The sequence below is a fragment of the Homo sapiens genome, chromosome 1, assembly GCF_000001405.40.
Source record: "Homo sapiens chromosome 1, GRCh38.p14 Primary Assembly".
NCBI lineage: Eukaryota > Metazoa > Chordata > Mammalia > Primates > Hominidae > Homo > Homo sapiens.
The window spans coordinates 15437211-15456731 of NC_000001.11; the positions used below are offsets into that span (position 1 = coordinate 15437211).

Here is a 19521-nt window from a genome sequence, read left to right on the forward strand (position 1 = left end):
GAAAGATGAGACAGAGAGAGAGCCAGGAAGCGATCCAATAGCACTAGAAAGGCAGAGAAGGAGCAGCATGTCTCCACAGCTTGAAGCCCCAGGCTGGTGTTAGAAGCTTTGGCTTCAAAGTCTGGCTCTGCTGCTGCCCAGCCGTGTGACCCTAGATGGTCACTTACCCGCTGAGTCTCAGCTTCCTCACTTTTATTTTATTTTTTTAGAGACAAGGTCTTGTTCTGTCACCCGCGCTGGAATGCAGTGTGGCACGATCACGGCTCACTGCAGCCTCGAACTCCTGGGCTCAAGCGATCCTCCTACCTTGGCCTCAGGAGTAGCTGGGACTACAGGCATGCACCACTGCGCCTGGTCCTTTCTCATCTCACCTCAGAGCAGATAACCGCGTCTATTTCATGTTGTTGGAAGAATTAAGTGAGATAATGCAAGAAGAATTGAGCGCAATGCCTGACACACAGTAGGTGCCCAATAAATAACTAAAAAGAATAAGGTAACGGCCTGTAATCACACCTGTAATCCTAGCACTTTGGGAGGCTGAGGTAGGCAGATTGCCTAAGCTCAGGAGTTCAAGACCACCCTAGGCAACAGGGTGAAACCCTGTCTCTACTAAAATACAAAAAAAAAAAAAAAAAAAAAATGGTGGCACACATCTGTAGTCCCAGCTACTTGGGAGGCTGAGACAGGAGAATCGCTTGAACTCGGGAGGCGGAGGTTGTAGTGAGCTGAGACTCCAGCCTGGGTGACAGAGCAAGATCCTGTCTCAAAAAAATAAATAAAATACAAAAGATTAACCTGGCGTGGTGGCAGGCGCCTGTAGTCCCAGCTACACAGGGGGCTAAGGCACGAGAATCGTTTGAGCCCGGGAGGTGGAGGTTGCAGTGAGCTGAGACTGTGCCACTGCATTTCAGCCTGGGCAACAGAGCAAGACTCCATCTCCAAATAAATAAATAAATAGTATAAGGTAGGGAGAGAGAATGAACACACACGTCAAACAGAGTGGGGTGGGGGATGCCAAAAAGCACTGCAACTCAGAATTTTCTGTTTCAGGATATTTGGAAAATCCATACTTCTAAGAAAGCCCTGTCTCCTGCCCAAATTAAACAGTAACCACCCAAGGTCAGGGAAAGGGCCTTATCAGAGCAGGTTTCTCTCCAAGGGGCGGTTTGGCCTTGACCAGGTGCACTCACCTGCTCCTGCCTATAAGTGTGCCCCAGCCCATCCCGATGGTCAGCCAGTCCTGAGCACCTAACCATGTTGGGCATCACTGTCCTCGCTGCGCTCTTGGCCTGTGGTAAGCGGTGGGGTGGGGCTGCAGCTAGCAGGCTGTGAGCTCGGGCTGGCCTCCAGGGCAAGGACGGGATGGGGAGTGGGGGGGCCTCTGCTCTCCAGGTAAGACACTTTGGGGTCCCCTGTGGGTTCAGATGCTACCAACCAGCTGTGTGTCAGACAAGCCACAGCCTGCCTGCCAACTCTGTTTCCACATCTGCAAAACAGGGAAGATGATCTGACGTGTCCCCAGTTAGAAATGAGGTGTGGAAAGCACCACGCAAGGGGGAGGGACACGAGATGCCTCATCCTGGGTTCACCCCAGGGACCATCGGGGTCTGCCTTTCCCAGCATTCTCTCTCCCTTGAGGATTCTCCATTCCATCATTTTGGTGGCGTTTTCCCAGATTAGGAGCCCAGGGACTTAGCTTAAATGCCACTTCTTCTCTGCAGGACCTGGAAAAGTCATTTCACCTCTCTAAATCTCACTAACTTTTTTGGCAAAGGAGAGCACTTAATGAAGAGTCCTTCCAGCTAACAACAACAACAGTAATAATAGCAGCTCCTGTTTCCTGTGTGTTTACTATGTGCCAGACGCTATGCTAGGCCCCTTACATGTAGGAGCCAATTTAATCCTCAAAACAACCTTAAGAGGTAGGGTCTATTGCCAGGCATGGTGGCTCACGCCTGTAATCCCAGCACTTTGGGAGGCCGAGGTGGGTGGATCACTTGAGATCAGGAGTTTGAGACCAGTCTGGCCAACAAGATGAAACCCCGTTTCTACTAAAAATACAAAAATTAGCCAGGCGTGGTGGCGGGCACCTGTAATCCCAACTACTCAGAAGGCTGAGGCAGGAGAATTGCTTGAACCCAGGAGGAGGTTGCAGTGAGCCGAGATCGCGCCATCAAACTCCAGCCTGGGCAACAAGAGTGAAACTCCGTCTCAAAAAAAAAAAAAAAAGAAAAAGAAAGAAAAAGAGGTAGGGTCTTTTCATAGCCCCATTTTACAGATGAGGACATCGAGGTTCCGTGCGACTTAGTATCTTGCCTGACATCACATGGCAGGTTAGTGGAAGAGGCAGAATTTGAGTCCACGTCTGTCTCGCGGAACAGCACGTGTTCTTGACCGCTCCACACAGCTTCCCAGCTATAACAGTGGATTTACTGCTCTCTCACACACACACCATGATGCAGGGGCCTAAAAACAGACAGAAGAACACAGGTGTACCGGGCACTCGCACACATGCCAGCCAGTTTTGTTTTGTTTTGTTTTGTTTTTTGAGATGGAGTTTTGCTCTTATCACCCAGGATGGAGTGCAATGGCACGATCTCGGCTCACTGCAACCTCCATCTCCCAGGCTCAAGCGATTCTCCTGCCTCAGCCTCCTGAGTGGCTGGGATTACAGGCATGCACCACCACGCCTGGCTAATTTCTGTATTTTTAGTAGAGACAGGGTTTCGCCATGTTGGCCAGGCTGGTGTCAAACCCCTGATCTCAAGCGATCCACCCGCCTTGGCCACCCAAAGTGCTGGGATTACAGGTGTGAGCCACCGTGCCCGGCCAAACGCTTTCTTTTTTATGTGTTGTCTAATTCAGTTCTCAGGGCAAACTCACCGCATTAGTGTGATTCTTCACATTTCACAGAAAGGGAAAACAAGGCCTAGAGACCTGGGTGGCTTACCCCCGTGACACAGTAAAATATCAACCCCGTGTCTGCCCAGCCCCAACTCTGTGCTTCTTCCACCTGCCCACCCTCCCACCCCTTTCCCCGTGGGCTACCAGCCCTATTCACTGGTTCTTCTGGCCTCCTGTCTCCCCAGCCTCCAGCTGTGGGGTGCCCAGCTTCCCGCCCAACCTATCCGCCCGAGTGGTGGGAGGAGAGGATGCCCGGCCCCACAGCTGGCCCTGGCAGGTAAGCCTGTGTAGGGCTGGGAGGTACAGATAGAGAGGGTGGCGGGGTGAGGGTCCCAGGGACCTGCAGGCTGACACACAGCCCTCCCCACCCTCCTGCAGATCTCCCTCCAGTACCTCAAGAACGACACGTGGAGGCATACGTGTGGCGGGACTTTGATTGCTAGCAACTTCGTCCTCACTGCCGCCCACTGCATCAGGTGTGCGGGGATGATACCCTGAGACCTGGCCATCGTCCGGGGGCGGAAGCCTGATACTCTGCTTTTTCTGAGCAGCTTCTCCGCACTCCAGGCACTGGGCTACATAATCTACTCACACCCAGTAACTCAGTTGTGCATTTAGTCAGTCAAGTATTCATTGTGCATCTATTATGTGCCAGGAACCAGCAGTGAAGACAAAGTCTGTGCTCTCGGGAAGCTTATATTTTTGTGGAAGACAGAGCGGCAGACAATTAAACAAATATATAGCATCTCAGGTGATTTAAAATAATACTAATAATAAGGTATTGGCCAGGAGCAGTGGCTCACGCCTGTAATCATAGCACTCTGGGAGGCCGACGCAGGCGGATCACCTGAGGTCAGGAGTTCGAGACCAGCCTGGTCAACATAGTGAAACCCCGTCTCTACCGAAAATACAAAAATTAGCCAGGCGTGGTGGCGGGCACCTGTAATCCCAGCTACTCGGGAGGCTGAGGTAGGAGAATCACTTGAACACGGGAGGCAGAGGTTGCAATGAGCCGAGATGGCGCCACTGCACTCTAGCCTGGGCAACAGAGTGAGACTCTGTCTCAAAAAAATAAAAAATAAAAATAAGGTCAGAAGAGGACAAACAGAATGAGGGGTTCAGTTTTAAAAGGGATGGCCAGGGGAAGAGCTGAAAGGGGGATATTTGGCAAATATTTGGGACATTTCGGAGAGCTAAAAGGGGGTTATTTGGGCAAAGGCCTGAAGGAAGTGAGGGAGGAAATCATGGATCTAGGAGAAGGGTGTTCCAGGCGGAGGGAACAGCCATGCAAAGCCTTGGAGGAGAGACCTGTCAGTATGGTTGAGAAATAACGCGGAAGCCGGTGTGGCAGGGGCAGCGTGTGCTAGAGGAGAGTGGGAGGTGAGCTAGAGAGGAAATAAGTGCAGGTCAGTATCAGGACCTTGGCTTTGACCCTGAGTAAGATGGAGCTATTGGAAGGGTTTCTGAGCAAAGGAGAGTTGTGGGCTGACATATTTTTATATATTCCATAAAATATTTTTAATATATTTTATAAAAAATATATATTGCAACATATTTCATTTTATATATTTCATATACACTTTTTTTTTTTTTGGTAGAGACAGAGTCTCATTTAGTGGTACCATCATGGTTCACTGTAGCCTTGACCTCCTGAGCTCAAGCAATCCTCCCACCTTAGCCTCCCGAGTAGCTGGGTCTATAAGCACACGCCACCACGCATTCCCAGCTAATTTTTCTTCTTGTTTTTTGTTTGTTTGTTTGTTTTTTAACTTAGAAGCCCAAACCTCACCATAAGTTTTCTATTTTTTGTAGAGATGGGGATTTGCCATGTGGCTCAGGCTGGTCTCAAACTCCTGGCCTCAAGCAATCCCCCCGTCTCGGCTTCCCAACGTGCTGGGATTACAGGCATGAGCCAACGCACCTGGCCGGAGATATTTTTAAACCCACACTGCTGGGTTCAGAATAGACAGGAGTAGGCCAGCGTACAAGTGAGAGATAGTTAGATGGATGCCGCAACTGTGCAGGCAAGGGCGGTGGAAGCTTGGATGAGTTTATTCTCACAGCCGCCCTGGGAGTAAGTTCCAGCATTGCCTCCCCCTTACAGATGAGGGAACTGAGGCACAAGGCTACACAGCCAGGAGCAGCAAAGTCACAACATGAACCCAAGTCCCTTGACCCCAAGTCCCAGGCCCTTCCCCTCACCCTGGGAAAGGACAATGGGAACACTCTCTTCCCCCAAAATGAGTCCCACTAAAGCCCCGAGCTCCCTCTCTATCCCACTGGCTGGCAGGACCAGGGGGCCACCCTGACCTGGACCCCTTCCTCTGCCCAGCAACACCCGGACCTACCGTGTGGCCGTGGGAAAGAACAACCTGGAGGTGGAAGACGAAGAAGGATCCCTGTTTGTGGGTGTGGACACCATCCACGTCCACAAGAGATGGAATGCCCTCCTGTTGCGGTGAGTGACAGACTGCCCATCCCACAGCCACTGGGGGCAGTGTGGAAGGAGGGGTCCCCAAGACGGAGCCGCAGAGCCTGTCGCACCCCATACCTGACACCCCATCCTCACCCTGGAAAGCCAGCAAATGACTGTCTTACACAAAATGGCAAAATGCTAAGTGGAGACAAATACCCCCTCATATCCCCCTCATTGGCCAAGACTCCCAGGAAAGTCCACAAGGAAGGCCCCCCACAGTGTCTCTCCAGAGGCTGGGCCAGCGCTCACCTTTATTGAGTTCCTACTGTATGCCCACATTGCAATAGACACTTTATATGCCATCTGTTATGTAATCCTCACAACAGCCCTGGACAAAGAACCAAGGCTCAGAGAGGTTAAGAACTGTGTCCCAGGCCACACAGCCCACTTCGTGGCAGAACTAGGAATCAAACCAGGTCTGACTGGGCCGGCCAGCTTTTATTCTTGTAACATGAAAATATTAAAACTGGCATCTGCAAGTGCCGTCTTTTGGCATTAGAGTTCTCAACTTGCTATAGCCTCTGTTTCAATGGACCCACAGCCAGCAGTGGTTTCGGACACTTCCACTCTCACCTCCCTCTGTTAACCCTTTCCCGAGGTGATGACATGTGAGAAGAAGCTATGTCAACAGTGCGGGTGATCATGTTAGATGGTGAATCGTTTGTCCTGATATTCCCAAAGGCCAAGAAGAAGCTGGCAGTCAGGATGTTTGTGAAGGACCCCTGAGCACCCTGGGCCTGACTCCCAACTCACAGCCCGAGCCCCTTAGCCTGAGCTTGTGGGGCCAGGGCCCTCCTGCCCACTCACCCTCTCCACTTTGGATTCCAGCAATGATATTGCCCTCATCAAGCTTGCAGAGCATGTGGAGCTGAGTGACACCATCCAGGTGGCCTGCCTGCCAGAGAAGGACTCCCTGCTCCCCAAGGACTACCCCTGCTATGTCACCGGCTGGGGCCGCCTCTGGAGTGAGTATCGTCCCTGGCAAATCCTGAGAGCCTTCCTGAAGGAAGCAGGACGTCACCCACATTTGTCCACCACTTTGCCTTTTTGCCTTCACATTTTCATGTCTTTGTAAACTTTGTAACAATAACAGCTAATATTTACTAAGCACATACCATGTGACAGACACTCTAGCAAGGGTCTCTGAGAGATGTGGTAAAGTTTAGACGAATTAGAATTTGTCAAGTGCTCAGAACAGCACTTGGCACATAGTAAGTGTCACATAAATAAACTAAAATAAACCATTAGGGGTAGGGGATGACATCTGTGGTATACCGTATGCCCAAATAGGTCCCAGCTGAATTAAAAGTTAAATGCAAATCATGAAACTATGGGAGACTTAGAAAATGCAGATCACTATTTAGAAAATCCTGGGGGAGAAGTCAGCTGTGGCGGCTCACACCTGTAATCCCGACATTTTAGGAAGCTGAGGAGGAAAGATCACTTGAGGCCAGGAGTTCAAGACCAGCCTGGGCAACATAGTGAGACCCTGCCTCTACAAAAAAAAAATTTTTAAATAGCAGTGTATGGTGGTGTGTACCTGTAGTCCCAAACTACTCAGGAGGCTGAGGTGAGAGGATCATTTGAGCCCAGGGGTTTGAGGCTGCAGTGAGCTATGATCTTGCCACTGCTGTCCAGCCTGAGCAACAGAGTGAGACCTTGTATGTATCAAAAAAAAAAAGAAAGAGAAATAGAAAATCTTGGGGGTGAGAAAGGCTTTTTAATGGGTGACAGCAAAGACAGAGACCCACAGGAAATTATTGACAATTAAATCCCCAGAATCCAACTTAAAGACAACTCAACTCAACACTGTAGCTTCCTTCTGCCGGCAGCCTGCTCCTGACCCTCTGGGACCTTGGCTTGCCTCTTGATGAAGGGCAGGTGTGTGGTCCGCACACTGTCTCAGCCGGCGCTCCCCTGGGTCCTGTCCCAGGCATCTGCTCCCTGAAGGCCTGGGGAGGGGCTGGACTGGGCTTCCCGGCTGCCTCCCTGGTCACTGCTCACTCTCTCCCCAGCCAACGGCCCCATTGCTGATAAGCTGCAGCAGGGCCTGCAGCCCGTGGTGGATCACGCCACGTGCTCCAGGATTGACTGGTGGGGCTTCAGGGTGAAGAAAACCATGGTGTGCGCTGGGGGCGATGGCGTCATCTCAGCCTGCAATGTGAGTGGCTAGGTTCTGCACCTTGTCCCTACTCCAAGTGGCCAAGTGGATGTGGGCAAAGGGGGGTGCGATGGACCAAACCCTTCTCCTGGGAGGAGACTGAGCGAGCCCTGGCTGGGCCCAGCAGGCTCAGGGTAAGCCCATCACCCCCCATCACTGTGGTGAGAGCATGAGCATTGAGCACGAGTATCTGAGTTCAAGCCCCAGTCCCACCATTTATGAGCTACGTAAACTTGGGAGGGCCGTTGAACCTCTGACCTCAGTTTTTCCATCTGTAAAATGGAGTTACAGTAACCACTTCACAGGGTTAGGACTAAATGAGTTTAAAGGACAGAGAAGAGGCTTCACTGAAGTCTCTACACATGTTCCTCCATGCATTTGCTCCACCAGTCCAGGGAGACCAGAACCATAAAACATCTAAGACAATCAGGGAATGTCCTGTTTTCAAACACACAACCCTCTCCCCATTCTCACCCTCCTTCCTCACCTTCCCAGGCCTCTAGCACAGCTGCCTGCATCCTCACTGCTCTGAGTAGCTCACAGAGTCTTAGATAAGGAGACCTGAACAGCTAGGGAAACTGAGGCACGGAGAGGATTAACATCATCCCAAGATCACACAGCAAACCAAGAGCTAGTCTGACACCCCAGGGCCTCCCAGAATAAGGCCAAGGCAGCCGCAAACCACATTTCCTCTGCCTCCCTCACCATGGGCAGGCTGAGGCCAAATCTGTCCACTAACTAAGGCTGAGAAGCCAACCCACATCCCCCACCCCAACCCAGTCCTGCTTCCCAAGACTTCCTCTGGGGGGGGGCCTGGTGGCTTATGCCCTCCCGGTCTGGTGCAGGGGGACTCCGGTGGCCCACTGAACTGCCAGTTGGAGAACGGTTCCTGGGAGGTGTTTGGCATCGTCAGCTTTGGCTCCCGGCGGGGCTGCAACACCCGCAAGAAGCCGGTAGTCTACACCCGGGTGTCCGCCTACATCGACTGGATCAACGAGGTGGGTGCTGCCTCCACAGCTGTCCCTGCACCTGTCAGCCCCTCCCCCTCACTCACCCATCCCCTCACTCATTCACTCATTCATGCGTTTATTCATTCATTCATTTATTCACTCATTCATGCATTTATTCACTCATTCATGCATTCATTCATTTATTCACTTATTCAGTCACTCATTCATGTATTTATTCATTTATTCATTCACTCATGCATTCATTCATTCATTTATTCACTTATTCATTCACTCATTCATGTATTCATTCATTCATGCATTTATTTACTCATTCATCCATTTATTCACTCATTCATTTGCTCATTCAGTGATTCATTCATGCACTTCTTCACACATTCACTCTCTCATTCAAGTAATATTGGTTGAGTGCTTCCAGTAGCAGGCCTTGAGTTGGGTGCCAATAAGGAAACAGTCATTGACTCCTCCATCCATCCATTCACTGCCTTCATCAAGCACTTATGTCCCCATCCAGGCCCCACACCAGTCTCCCCCAAAAACTGACCCCCTGAGGGTATGGCCCAGCAGAGGAGAGGGATGGTGTGGATGGCCATTTCTCATCTTGAGAGTAGGGGAACAGAGGGTCACCCTGGGCTGGGGGCTTCCCCATTGGGGACAGAGTGTGTTCCAAGACCCATTTGCACAGTGGCCTGAAATGCTGAGGGCCTCAGACCCCTTGAACAGGGACAAGGCTGGCATGTGAAGGCCGGGGGCTGCTGGCCATGCCCCCATGGACCCACCCTCCGGGCAGAGCCCTGTGCCACCCTAGAAGGTGGCACAGCCCTGAGTCTCTCACACTGTTCTCTGCTCCTCCAGAAAATGCAGCTGTGATTTGTTGCTGGGAGCGGCGGCAGCGAGTCCCTGCAACAGCAATAAACTTCCTTCTCCTCGGGCCACCTGGATCCTTGATTTGTGCAGCTTCTGTTGCTTCCCTCCTCTCTGGTGCTGCCCCTTTCCACACTATGGAGCCAAAGAGAGACCCCACTCAGCCAGTTTCCCCCACCCTGCATTAGACAGGTGGGGAAACAGAGGCCGGGAGAGAGGGCCAAGGAAGGAGCCTCCTGGGGCATTAATGGGAGGCAGGGGGCTGGGGTGGAGAGCCCAGGGAGTCCTGCGTGAAGCCGGAGGGGATGGGAGTGAAGGACGCATCAGACACCTTCCCCGCTCCATCTCACAAGCTGCGAACAGGTGAGACCCTGATGAAATCACTCGCTTCTCCGATCCTACCTCCACCGAGGGGCCTGGCAGGTCCTCACAGCCCCCCAGCAGCAGGTGGAAGACAGGGTCTCCCCAAAAGCAGCGTCCCCCAGGCCAGAGAGACCAGGCCACAGGAGGATGGCCAAAGCTCAGGGACAACCACTCCTGGGGAAGGGGCTCCCTAGCAGGGACCCCCCACCCCCACCCCGCAGCACAGACCCCATGGCTGCTGTTGGCAGGGGCTCTCTGCTTTGAGAAGTGTTTAGTGAGCCAGCCCCTGTGTCCAGTCCTGTGCTGGGCATGATGAGGGTACAGGAAGAGGAAGAGACCCCAGCATCATCCTCAGGAGACATACGTTTGAAGAAGGCAATGGTTTCCACACAGAATCACAGTGGTCAGAGCTGGATATGCTTTCATTGCATTAGACAAGTGGGGAAACTGAGGCCCAGAGAGAGGAAGGAGTTGGGATAGCTGGCAATGCCTGATCCAGGAGAAGAGAGTTCTCCTGAGGCTGACAAGAGGCCAAGAGGAGCCAGAGATGAGATAGACCCAGTGTCCAGGGAGGGACATGCCAGTGGGATCAGACCCTGATGACAGGGGCAGCCAGAGATGAGAGAGATCCAATGTCCAGGGAGGGACATGCCAGGGGGATCAGACCCTGATGATAGGGGCCTCTGGCCTGGCCTGCTCCTGGGAATGTCCTGTTCTGTGGGGGTGCCCCCAGCCCAGCCTCTGGACCCCTCGCTGGAGAGCCCTCGGCTGCAGCTACCTCAGACTGGCCCAAGAGTTGTCCCTTTTCTCCACCAGACTTTGTCCCCTGGGAGTGGGGACCATGGTGTGACTCCCACACCCCCATGATGCCAAGGCAAGTCTCAGGAAAGACTTGACTTACTCAACAAGCAGTGGGAGCTACAGGGAGCCCAGCACCACCCAGACCCGGGAATCCAGGATGGGGGTACCCCAGCTGTGCAGGAGACAGACCAGTAAATAGATCATTAAATTCCCTGGTATACATTTGAAAACAGAAATACAGACCAGAAGCATAGAAACAGGACACCTGAAGCAGTGTCAGTTGGCGGGAGGAATCCAGGATGGCTTCCTGGAGGTGATGATGCCCAAGCTTGGTCTTAAAATTTGACTAGAAGGTACCCAAGTACAGAACGTAGTCCTTCTTAAGTTTGCTTAATCTAAACTTCATTCCCACCTATCCTCTTCTTTTTTTTTTTTTTTTTTTTGAGACGGAGTCTTGCTCTGATGCCCAGGCTGGAGTGCAGTGGCACAATCTCAGCTCACTGCAACCTCCACCTCCCAGGTTCAAGTGATTCTTCTGCCTCAGCCTCCCAAGTAGCTGGGATTACAGGCACGCACCACCATGCACAGCTAATTTTTTTTTTTTTTTTTTAGACAGAGTCTCGCTCTCTCACCTGGGCTGTAGTGCAGTGGTGCCATCTCGGCTCACTGCAAGCTCCGCCTCCCAGGTTCACGCCATTCTCCTGCCTCAGCCTCCTGAGTAGCTGGGACTACAGGCGCCAGCCACCATGCCTGGCTAATTTTTTTTTTTTTTGTATTTTTAGCAGAGACGGGGTTTCACCGTGTTAGCCAGGATGGTCTCGATCTCCTGATCTCGTGATCCACCTGCCTCGGCCTCCCAAAGTGCTGGCATTACAGGCGTGAGCCACCGTGCCCGGCCCCAGCTAATTTTTTTGTATTTTTTTAGTAGAGATGGGGTTTCACCATGTCGTCCAGGCTGGTCTCAAACTCCTGACCTCAGGTGATCTGCCCGCCTTGGCCTCCCAAAGTACTGGGATCACAGGTGTGAGCCACCACACCCGGTCTCATTCCCAGCTATCTTCTTTTGTGTATGTCTTTATATTGGGGGTTATAAATGCTAAATGCTTGCTGTCCTCAGATCCCTTGTAGTTAGGGAGCTAATTAAAATGTTAATTAATATTACAATGTTATTTAAGCAATGTTAAATAATATCTAACATTTATTGGGCACTTAGTATGTGCCAAGCACTATCCTATAGGTTTTACATTATCTCAATCCCCAGAAACAATCCCATGAGGTAGGTTACTATTAACATCATGCCCATTTTACAGATGAGAAAACTGAGGCCAGACAGGGTTAGTGACTTCCCAATGTGTGAACTAGAAGGTAGTGGAGCCGGAATCCAGACTTTAGTGATCTGACTCCAGGGCCTGTGCTCTTGTCCACCATGCTCTGCTGCCCTGCAATGTAAAACATCCTCCAGAAAAAAAATAAATAAATAAAAACTTCCCTGATGAGAAAGATCTGACATAGCTGGTGCTGCCCCTTCCCCTTCTTCCTGCCTTGAATATGGATGTGATGCCTGGAGCTGAGGCAGCCATCTTGTGGCCAAGATAATTACAGAGATGTCAGCTTAGACCTCATCAAGCTGTAGATCCCATGCCAGCCACCATTTTCCTCTGAATGTCTGGCTACGTGAAAAAAAATACATCTGCATTTGTTTTAGCCACCGAAGTAGATTTTCAGTTACTTGCTAATCAATTCACTAGGGAACAGAAGGGGTCACTTTCCAGCCAAGGGAACAGCATGAGCAAAGCTATAGCGACTGCTTGGAAGAAACTCCGGTGTTGCCAGAGCATAAAGTCAGGGGCAAGGGCAGAGTGACCAATTGTCCTGGTTTGCCTGGGCTGAGTTTTCCCAGACATGGGAGTTTCAATGCTAAAACTGGAAGAGTCCCAGGCAAACCAAGATGGTTGTTGCTTGGAGGGGCAAGTGACAAGGCTGGAGAGGAAGCAAACGCCCTTAGGGAAGGCCTTGTGCAGTGGTAGGGGCTGCTGGGACTTCCTGCTGAGGGCAGTGGGGGCTGTAGAGGGCTTTTAGATAGAGAAGTGGCCACTGTGGTCCGATGTGTACACTACAGTGTCCATCAGACAGCTGTGGGGAGGGTGATTTGGAGCAGGCAAGAGTGGAGGCAGACAGGCCAGTAAGGAGGCTGCTGCAGCAGTCTAGGCCAGAAATAATGCAGCCCGGATGGAGGCGGTAATGAAAAGGAGAAAAGGGAGGTTTCAGTAATTATTTAAGGGGTACAGTTGTAGCGTTGAGCAGCAAGCCTCCAGCCCCACATCTACACAAACTTCCAGGAATCTGATTAATTATCAAAACGATTGTTTGTCAGGAGCCAGGCATGGTAGCACACACCTGTAGTCCCAGCTACTTGGAAGGCTGAGGCAGAAGGATGCTTGAGCCCAGGAGTTCGAGACCAGCCTGGGCAACATAGCAAGACCCTGTCTCTACAAAGAATACAAAAATTAGCCAGGCGTGGTGGCATGTACCTGTCGTGGCAGCTACTTGGGAGGCTGAGACAGGAGGATCACTTGAGCCCAGGAGGTCAAGGCTGCAGTGAGCCGTGATCATGCCACTGCACCCCAGCCTGGTCAACAGAGTAAGATCCTGTCTCAGAAAACGAGAAAAAACAACAACAAAAATTACCATTTGTTAGCTAATACATGGTGAAACACAACCCACAGTTCGGTTTGTTCAACAAGACTGTAAAATTTGGCCAGGCGCGGTGGCTCATGCCTGTAATCCCAGCACTTTGGGAGGCCAAGGTGGGAGTGGATCACCTGAGGTCAAGAGTTCGAGACCAGCCTGGCCAACATGACAAAACCCTGTCTCTACTAAAAGTACAAAAAATTAGCCAGGCGTGGTGGCAGGCACGTATAATCCCAGCTACTCGGGAGGCTAAGGCAGGAGAATCACTTGGACCTGGGGGGTGGAAGTTGCAGTGAGCCGAGATCGTGCCACTTCACTCCAGCCTGGGTGGGCGAAAGAGCAAAACTGTCTCCAAAAAAAAAAAAAAAGAGTGTAAAATTCTCAGCTTTGGGGACAAGATCCATTATTATGCCCAAGAATCAATGCCTATGTATGGTAAACAGAATAATGCTCCCTGCAAAAGATGTGTACACCCCAACCCCCAGAACCTGTGAACATGTTACCTTACTCAGCAAAAGAGATTGTTCAGATATGATTAAATTAAGGATCTTCCCATGGAGTGACCATCTTGGATTATCTGGGTGGGGTCTGTGTAATCAATAAGGGTCCTTAGAACAGTGAGACAAGAGGGTCAGGGTCAGAGAGAGATTTAAGGATGCTGCACTGCTGGCTCTGAAGATAGAGGAAGGGGCCATGAACCAAGGAATGCAGGCGGCCTCTGGAAGCTGGTAAAGGCCAGGAAATGGATTCTTCTCTACACCTCCAGAAGGGAACAGTCCTGCCTATACCTGGACTTTAGCCCAGTGAGGAAAAACTGTGGACTTCTGACCTCCAGAACTACAAGATAATAAATGTGTGTGTTTTTTGCCACTAAGTTTGTGACAATTTATTACAACAGCAATAGGAACCAGATTCACCATCCTTCCTCCCGTGTTAGAAGGCAAAATCCAAAGCGCACTGTGGTGGGTGTAGTGGGGAGGGAGAAGGAGGGGTCAGGAAGGACTCCCTGGGATCTGGCTTGGGTGAGAGTAGGGATTTGTGGACTTTGTCCCAGAGGTCACAAACTGGTGGCTGGAAGGGAGGGAAACTGGAAACTTAGGCACTGACCCTCCCACCTCCACCTTCTGCCTGGGGGCTGGGAGGCCTGGAAGGGGCTGCTGAGAGCCCCACCAGCCACTGATCCACTAGTGTGCCATTGGATGCCTAATAGCCGTTGCGTGGCTAGCATATATTGAGCACTTGCTAATTTGTGTTAGGCTCCGCCCAAGGCTTCATATATATGACCTCATTTCATCCTCATGGCAACCCTGTTTATTATCCCTCTTTACAGATGAGGAAACTGAGGCTCAGAGAGATTTCAAACCTCAGCCCAGATCACACAGCTAGCAATGGGGCACCATGATTTAAACCCAGGTAGTCTAACTCCAGAGCCTGTGCAACTAACAACTTGTGGTTCTGCCATGAATCCTAAAGTCTAAGGATGCCCTTGCACGCTGACCTCCTCTAGTGACCAGGGAGGTGTAGCCTGTGGGGGTGCCGAGAAGCCTCAATAAAACCAGCAATAAGCCCAGAGAGACAGAGGCTTGAGAGAATTATTGCTCCCAGATGCTCACAAAAGACTTTCAGCCACTGTATCAGCTACCAGAGGTGTGATAATGCTGCCTAACAACCTACCCCAAACTCCTAGTGGCATGCAGTGGTGAGCACTTATTGCTGACACATCTGGGGACAGTTGGGGCTGTCAGGCAGCCCTGCTAATTTGGGCTGGACTCACTCATATGTTTAGGGGTCAGCCAGGGTTGGCTGATCCAGTGTGGGTCAGACTGGGCAGCCTGGCTCTGCATGTCTCACCCACCTCCCGGGAGGGCCCTGCATGGCAAAGGGCATGGATGCAGGGAGGATGAAGAATCAGGGCCATCTTGGTCAGCCACCACATCCACATTCTCTCTGACTCAAATGAGAAGCATAAACTAGGGCAGGGCAGAGGGAGGGCACTCACTGGGCTGGAGCTCTGAACTCACCACTGACAGGCAGTCAGTGGCTGAGTCACTTAACCTCCCTGGGCCTCAGTTTTCCCCATCTGTGAAATGGACACCTGCCCTGTCTCCTTACTGGGGAGCCAATGAAATGACAGAGGCTAGTGAATGGGGCAGAGAGGGCCATTACTACTACTGACTTCGCTCCCTGGACTCAAATATTCCCTCTGTCTTTTTTTGAGATGGAGTTTCGCTCTTGTTGCCCAGGCTGGAGTGCAGTGGCACGATCTCGGCTCACTGCAACCTCCACCTCCCTGGTTCAAGCGATTCTCCTGCCTCAGCCTCCCGAGTAGCTGGGATTACAGACACCCACTACCACACCCAGCTAATTTTTTATTTTTTTAGTAGAGACGGGGTTTCATCATGTTGGCCAGGCTGGTCTCGAACTTCTGACCTCAGGTCATCCACCCACCTTAGTCTCCCAAAGTGCTGGGATTAAAGGCGTGAGCCACTGCACCCGGGCTTCCCTCTCTCTTTTTGTTCCTTAAGAGAGGAAGGCTCATTCCTAGCAGGCCTCAGACCTCAGGCCTCCGGCATATCCTTGGGGGTCCACTTCCCAGAAACTGAGTCCTATCAAGTTGAGACACAGGTTGAGTCTACAAAGGTCCTCATGGCAGTGGGCCAGGGGACCACGTGAAGGCAGAGAATAAACAGGCAGCATCTTCCCATAGCATCCATTTTCTGTGAAGATCAGAAGGGAAGAAAAAACTTTATATTGAAATGAACCCAGCTATATTATGAAGTTGCAAAATTCAAATTAAGCTTTCAGATGAAGAATGAGACTTCCAAGACATTTTGCTATTGTTAGTGCTGCGTGCTAGACCCCAGATCATCACTTTACTGCAAACTAGAGCCTGCAAACCAAATCTGTTTTGTAAATAAAGTTTTATTGGAACATGGCTATGCCCATATGGCTGCTTTTGCACTGCAACGGCCGAGTTGACTAGTTGTGACAGAGACCATATGGTCTGCAAGTCTGAAATATTTAGTATCTGGCCCTTTACACAGAAAGTTTGCCAGCCGCTAAACTACTTGGATTCTTTGATGAAAAGGTTTCAAGAATTCTGTGCTGCTCTAATATCGGAGGCCCGCAGGTCTAAGGAATTAAGAGTAAATGTTTATTGCACAGTTACTATTCTGAGTGCTTTCAGTGAATAAACTGTTGTTTGATTCTAACAATCCTAAGACATAAATGGTATTGTTATTGCTTCTCTTTGATAGGTGAGAAACTCAAGGAATAGAGTGAAATGTACCCTAGCCCAGTGCCTCTCAAATGTTAATATGCAGAGGAACAAAATCATCTGGGGATCCTATTAAACCACAGACACCGAAGATGGGAAATTCTGCATTTCTAACCAGCGACTGAGCTGTGCTGATGCTGCTGGCCCAGGCCACACTCCGTAGAGAGGAGCCAAACCACAGACTCACTACACAGAGGCACTGGGGGTCTTAAGCCCAGGCCCCCAGCCCCTAAGCCACGTGGCTCCTCAGAGTAGTTGTTCTGAATGAGTCACAAACCCCGTGAGAATTTCGCATCTGGCCAGGCACGGGGGCTTACGCATGTAATCTCAGATCACCTGGGGTCAGGAGTTCGAGACCAGCCTAGCCAACATGATGAAACCCCGTCTCTACTAAAATTACAAAAAATTAGCCGGGCATGGTGGCGGGCACCTGTAATCCCAGGAACTCAGGAGGCAAAGGCAGGAGAATCGCTTGAACCTCCTGATGGAGGTTGCTGTGAGCCGAGATGGCGCCACTGCATTCCAGCTTGGGTGGCAGAGCGAGACTCTGTCTCAAAAAAACAAACAAAAAACAAAGCAAAACAAAAAATCCTGACAGCAATGTGATGGAACAGACCAAGCATCTGTTCCTCTCCCTGTTTGTAGATAGGCACCCCGGGCCAGAAAGCCTGTGGGATTGGCCCAAGGTCACACAGCAAATTCACAGCAGGTGTTTGTTCAGTGGCCTCATACAGGACAAACTTTATTTTTATATTAAAACAAACAAAGATACAGAGCAGAACGCCAAATTCACATGAACCTTTAAGATAAAATATGAGACTTAAGAAATAGTTGGTTGCTGTAGTGACTCATACAGACCACAAATGAGTCCAAACTGTTACAGGGATTATGGGATGGAGTTGGGACTGGAATCTACATCTTCTGACATCCAGTCCCATGGGATGCTGCCCCCCACCCAATCTTTCTCACCTTTGCACCATCCTAGGGAGATTGCAGAATTCTTTCCCACCCATTTTCTTACCCGTACAACAATCCTGCAATCCAGGCCTGGATGGTTATCTAGGAAAGTAAGGCCCAGAAGATAAGTGGCTTGTCCAGACCACCACACTCAAAATTGATGGATCAAAGACTTGAACTCGGCTGGGCGCGGTGGTTCATGCCTGTAATCCCAGCACTTTGGGAGGCCGAGGCGGACGAACACGAGGTGAGGAGTTCAAGACCAGCCTGGCCAATATGGTGAAACCCCGTCTCTACTAAAAATACAAAAATAAGTCGGGTGTGGTGGCCGGTGCCTGTAGTCCCAGCTACTAGGGAGGCTGAGGCAGAAGAATCACTTGAACTTGAGAAGCAGAGGTAGCAGTGAGCCGAGATCGCGCCACTACGCCCTAGCCTGAGTGACAGAGCGAGACTCCGTCTCAAAAAAAAAAAAAAAAAAAAAAAAAAAAAAAAAAAAAAAACACTTGATATCAAGTCTTAAGAGTGTGGAGCTGGTCTTTTTTTTTTTTTTTTTTGAGATGGAGTCTTGCTCTGTTGCCCAAACTAAAGTGCAGTGGTGCGATCTCAGCTCACTGCAACCTCCACCTCCAAGGTTCGAGAGGTTATCCTGCCTCAGCCTCCTGAGTAGCTGGGACTACAGGCATGCAGCCCCACACGCTACTAATTTTTGTATTTTTAGTAGAGACGGGGTTTCACCATGTTGGCCAGGCTGGTCTTGAACTCCTGGCCTCAGGTGGTCTGCCCGCATCAGCCTCCCAAAGTTCTGGGATTATAGGAGTGAGCCACCGTGCCCGGCCGTAAAGTGCATTTTCATCCACCAGATGAAGCCCTCCTCTGCCAGCGTTCTGCTTCCCCCCATCATTAGAGTGGCCAGATCCTAATTGTGCATGTCGGCCTTGCCTTCTGCTACATGTGCACCTTCCCCGCATTATGCAAATTCTGCTACATGTGCACCTTCCCCACATTATACAAATCCTTACCACAATGTTGTGAAACAATACTGGGCATGGGTTTCTCTCCCTGTTTCACAGATGGGTCTAGAGACTTACATGACTCAGCCAAGGTCACATTGCAACCCCTGGTATGGCCTAGAACAGGCTTTCTCAGTCTCAGCACCATTGACATTTGGGGCAGGGCGAGTCCTATTGCCCAGTGCATTGTCGGGTGTTTAGCAGCGTCTCTGCTCTCTGCTCCCTGCCCACTGGATGCCAATTTACATCAACCCCAGCCATGACAACCAAAATTCTCTCCAGATGTTGTCAAACGTCTCCTGGTGGGCTGAACCAGCCCCATTGAGAAATACTGCCTTAGAATGCTGTGGGCTCAGCATGCCACCTTAATCTTTTCATTGAAAACACAACTCCTGGCCGGGCATGGTGGCTCAGCCTGTAATCCTAGCACTTTGGGAGGCCGAGGCGAGCAGATCACTTGAGGCCAGGAGTTCGACACCAGCCTGGCCAACATGATGAGACCCCCCGTCTCTACTAAAAATACAAAAATTAGCCAGCAATGGTGGCACACACCTGTAATCCCAACTACTAGGGAGGCTGAAGCAGGGGAATTGCTTGAACCCAGGAGGCAGAGGTTGCAGTGAGCTGAGATCACGCCACTTCATTCCAGCCTGGGTGACAGAGCAAGACTCCATCTCAGAAAGAAAAAAGAAAGAAAGAAAGAAAGAAAACACAACTCCTCTCCTCAGTCTTACCCAGGGAGGGGAACAAAAACAAACAAACAAAAAAAAAAACAACTCCGAGCACCAACAATTAGTATTTTTCTTCCTTCCCTAACACACAACATAATCTCTTCAAAACAGATGGAACCCATATTCCAATATCTACCTTTGGCATCTTTTTCAAAGTATTTCTAGGGTGACATTTGGGAGGAAATGGGAAAAAAAAAATATTTGGACACAGCTCTTTTTTCCACTGGGCTTTGAGAAAACCCCATCTTGCGTGCTCTTACTGTATCTCTCACTGATAAGTCCGCTCATAAAACCAGGGCCTTATCCAGGGCCACGCTT

At 50.5% G+C, this 19521-nt stretch overlaps 1 protein-coding gene across 2 annotated transcripts; it reads left to right on the forward strand.

Moving 5' to 3' along the window:
* Nucleotides 1233-12032, forward strand: CTRC (chymotrypsin C). 2 transcript variants are annotated; one of them, NM_007272.3, is made up of 8 exons: nucleotides 1233-1294; nucleotides 3090-3181; nucleotides 3283-3380; nucleotides 5237-5362; nucleotides 6209-6345; nucleotides 7396-7541; nucleotides 8387-8539; nucleotides 9365-12032. In NM_007272.3, the coding sequence occupies exons 1-8, from the start codon at nucleotides 1255-1257 to the stop codon at nucleotides 9377-9379; spliced, it is 807 nt and encodes a 268-aa protein (NP_009203.2). In that variant the 5' UTR covers nucleotides 1233-1254; the 3' UTR covers nucleotides 9380-12032. The 2 variants fall into 2 exon arrangements, with proteins under 2 accessions (NP_009203.2, XP_011538852.1); XM_011540550.2 differs by lacking the exon at nucleotides 7396-7541.

Excerpts from the sequence above, each read along its gene's own strand:
- CTRC (XM_011540550.2), top strand. The coding sequence starts at position 1,255 with ATGTTGGGCATCACTGTCCTCGCTGCGCTCTTGGCCTGTG. Across the intron at positions 3,182-3,282 it reads CCCACAGCTGGCCCTGGCAG|ATCTCCCTCCAGTACCTCAA; the intron begins GTAAGCCTGTGT and ends ACCCTCCTGCAG. Across the intron at positions 3,381-5,236 it reads ACTGCCGCCCACTGCATCAG|CAACACCCGGACCTACCGTG; the intron begins GTGTGCGGGGAT and ends TCCTCTGCCCAG.